Genomic DNA, 1,676 nt, shown 5'->3' with positions numbered 1-1,676 from the left:
TGCCCATATTTTTATTTTTGTTTATTTATTTATTTAATTTTGAGACAGAGTCTCGCTCTGCTGCCCAAGCTGGAGTGCAGTGGTGTGATCTCAGCTCACTGCAACCTCCACCTCTTGGGTTCAAATGATTCTCCTGCCTCAGCCTCCTGAGTAGCTGGGATTATAGGCGCCCACGACCACGTCCAGCTAATTTTTGTACTTTTAGTAGAAACGGGGCTTCGCCATATTGGCCGGGCTGGTCTCGAACTCCTGACCTCAGGTGATCCGCCCGCCTCGGCCTCCCAAAGTGCTGGGATTACAGGCATGAGTCACCGTTCCTGGCCTAGTTTTATTTATTTATTTTCAGATGGAGCCTCATGCTGCTGCCCAGGCGGGAGTACAGTGGCATGATCTCAGCTCATTGCAACATCCACCTCCTGGGTTCAAGCAGTCCTCGTGCCTCAGCCTCCCAAGTAGCTTGGATTACAAGCACGTGCCACCATGCCCTGCTAAGTTTTGTATTTTCAGTAAATACAGGGTTTTGCCATGTTGGCCAGGCTGGTCTTGAACTCCTGACCTCAGGTGATCCGCCTGCCTCGGCCTCCCAAAGTGCTGGGATTACAGGTGTGAGACACCCCGCCCAGCCCATTTTTAAAAAATTTTTAATTTTTATGGGTACATAGTAGGCATATATATATATATATATATATATATATATATATATATATATATGATACTCGCATTTTGATACGAGAATATAATGTATAATAATAATATCAGGGTAAACGAGGTATCCCTTGAACATTTAAAAATATATATTCTGGATGTTAGCCCTTTATCAGATAAATGATTTTCAAGTATTTTCTCCCATTCTGTAGGTTTCTTTTTCACTGTGTTGTTTTCTTTGCTGTGCAGAAGTTTTTGATGTAGTCCCATTTGTCTATTTTATATTTTGTTACCTGTGCCTTTGGTGTCATAGCCAAGAAATCATTGCCCTTCTCCTAATGTTATGAAGTTTCTCCCCTATGTTTTCTTTTAGTTTCGTAGTTTCAGGTCTTAGGTTTAGGTCTTTAATTCATTTTGAATTAATTTTTGTATATGATGTAGATTAAGGGCCCATTTTTTTCTTTCCTACGTGGATATGCAATTTTCGCGGCATCATTTGTTGAAGAGCTATCCTTTCTTCATTGTGTAGTCTTGGCATCTTAGTTGAAGATCTTTGACAGTAAACATGAGGGTTTATTTCTGGGCTCTGTATTTTGTTCCATTGGTCTATATGTCTGTCTTTATGCCAATTCCATATTGTTTCAATTACTATAGCTTTGTAATATGCCTTGTATTTTGTTCTGGGCTCTGTATTTTGTTCCATTGGTCTATATGTCTGTCTTTATGCCAGTACCATATTGTTTCAATTACTCTAACATTGTAATATGCTTTGAAATCAGGAAGCGTGAGGTCTCCAGCTTTGTTCTTTTTCAAGGTTATTTGGGGTCCTTTTAGATTCAATATGAATTTAGGATTTTTTTTCTGTGTCTGCAAAAAAAAAAGCCATTGAGATTTTGATACAGATTGCGTTGAATCTGTAGACTGCTTCAGGTAGTATGGACAGCTTATCAATACTAAGTCTTCCAATCCATGAACATGAGATGTATTTCTATTTATTTGTGTCTTCTTTAATCTCTTTCAGCAATGTCTTA

At 39.1% G+C, this 1,676-nt stretch overlaps 1 annotated feature.

Annotated features, from left to right (window-relative positions):
- Positions 338–504: a silencer, noted in NCBI's record as "fragment chr18:12734331-12734497 (GRCh37/hg19 assembly coordinates)". NCBI's record gives its function as "represses an EF-1alpha promoter that drives an FKBP-Casp9 reporter gene in an ReSE screen in phorbol 12-myristate 13-acetate-treated (for megakaryocytic differentiation) K562 erythroleukemia cells {active_cell/tissue: K562(+PMA)}" and the evidence as "EXISTENCE:reporter gene assay evidence [ECO:0000049][PMID:32094911]".

The sequence above is a fragment of the Homo sapiens genome, chromosome 18 (assembly GCF_000001405.40).
Source record: "Homo sapiens chromosome 18, GRCh38.p14 Primary Assembly".
In the NCBI taxonomy this organism is placed as follows: domain Eukaryota; kingdom Metazoa; phylum Chordata; class Mammalia; order Primates; family Hominidae; genus Homo; species Homo sapiens.
Note: the sequence above shows the minus strand (reverse complement) of the source record. Positions and strands in the feature narration are given on the sequence as shown.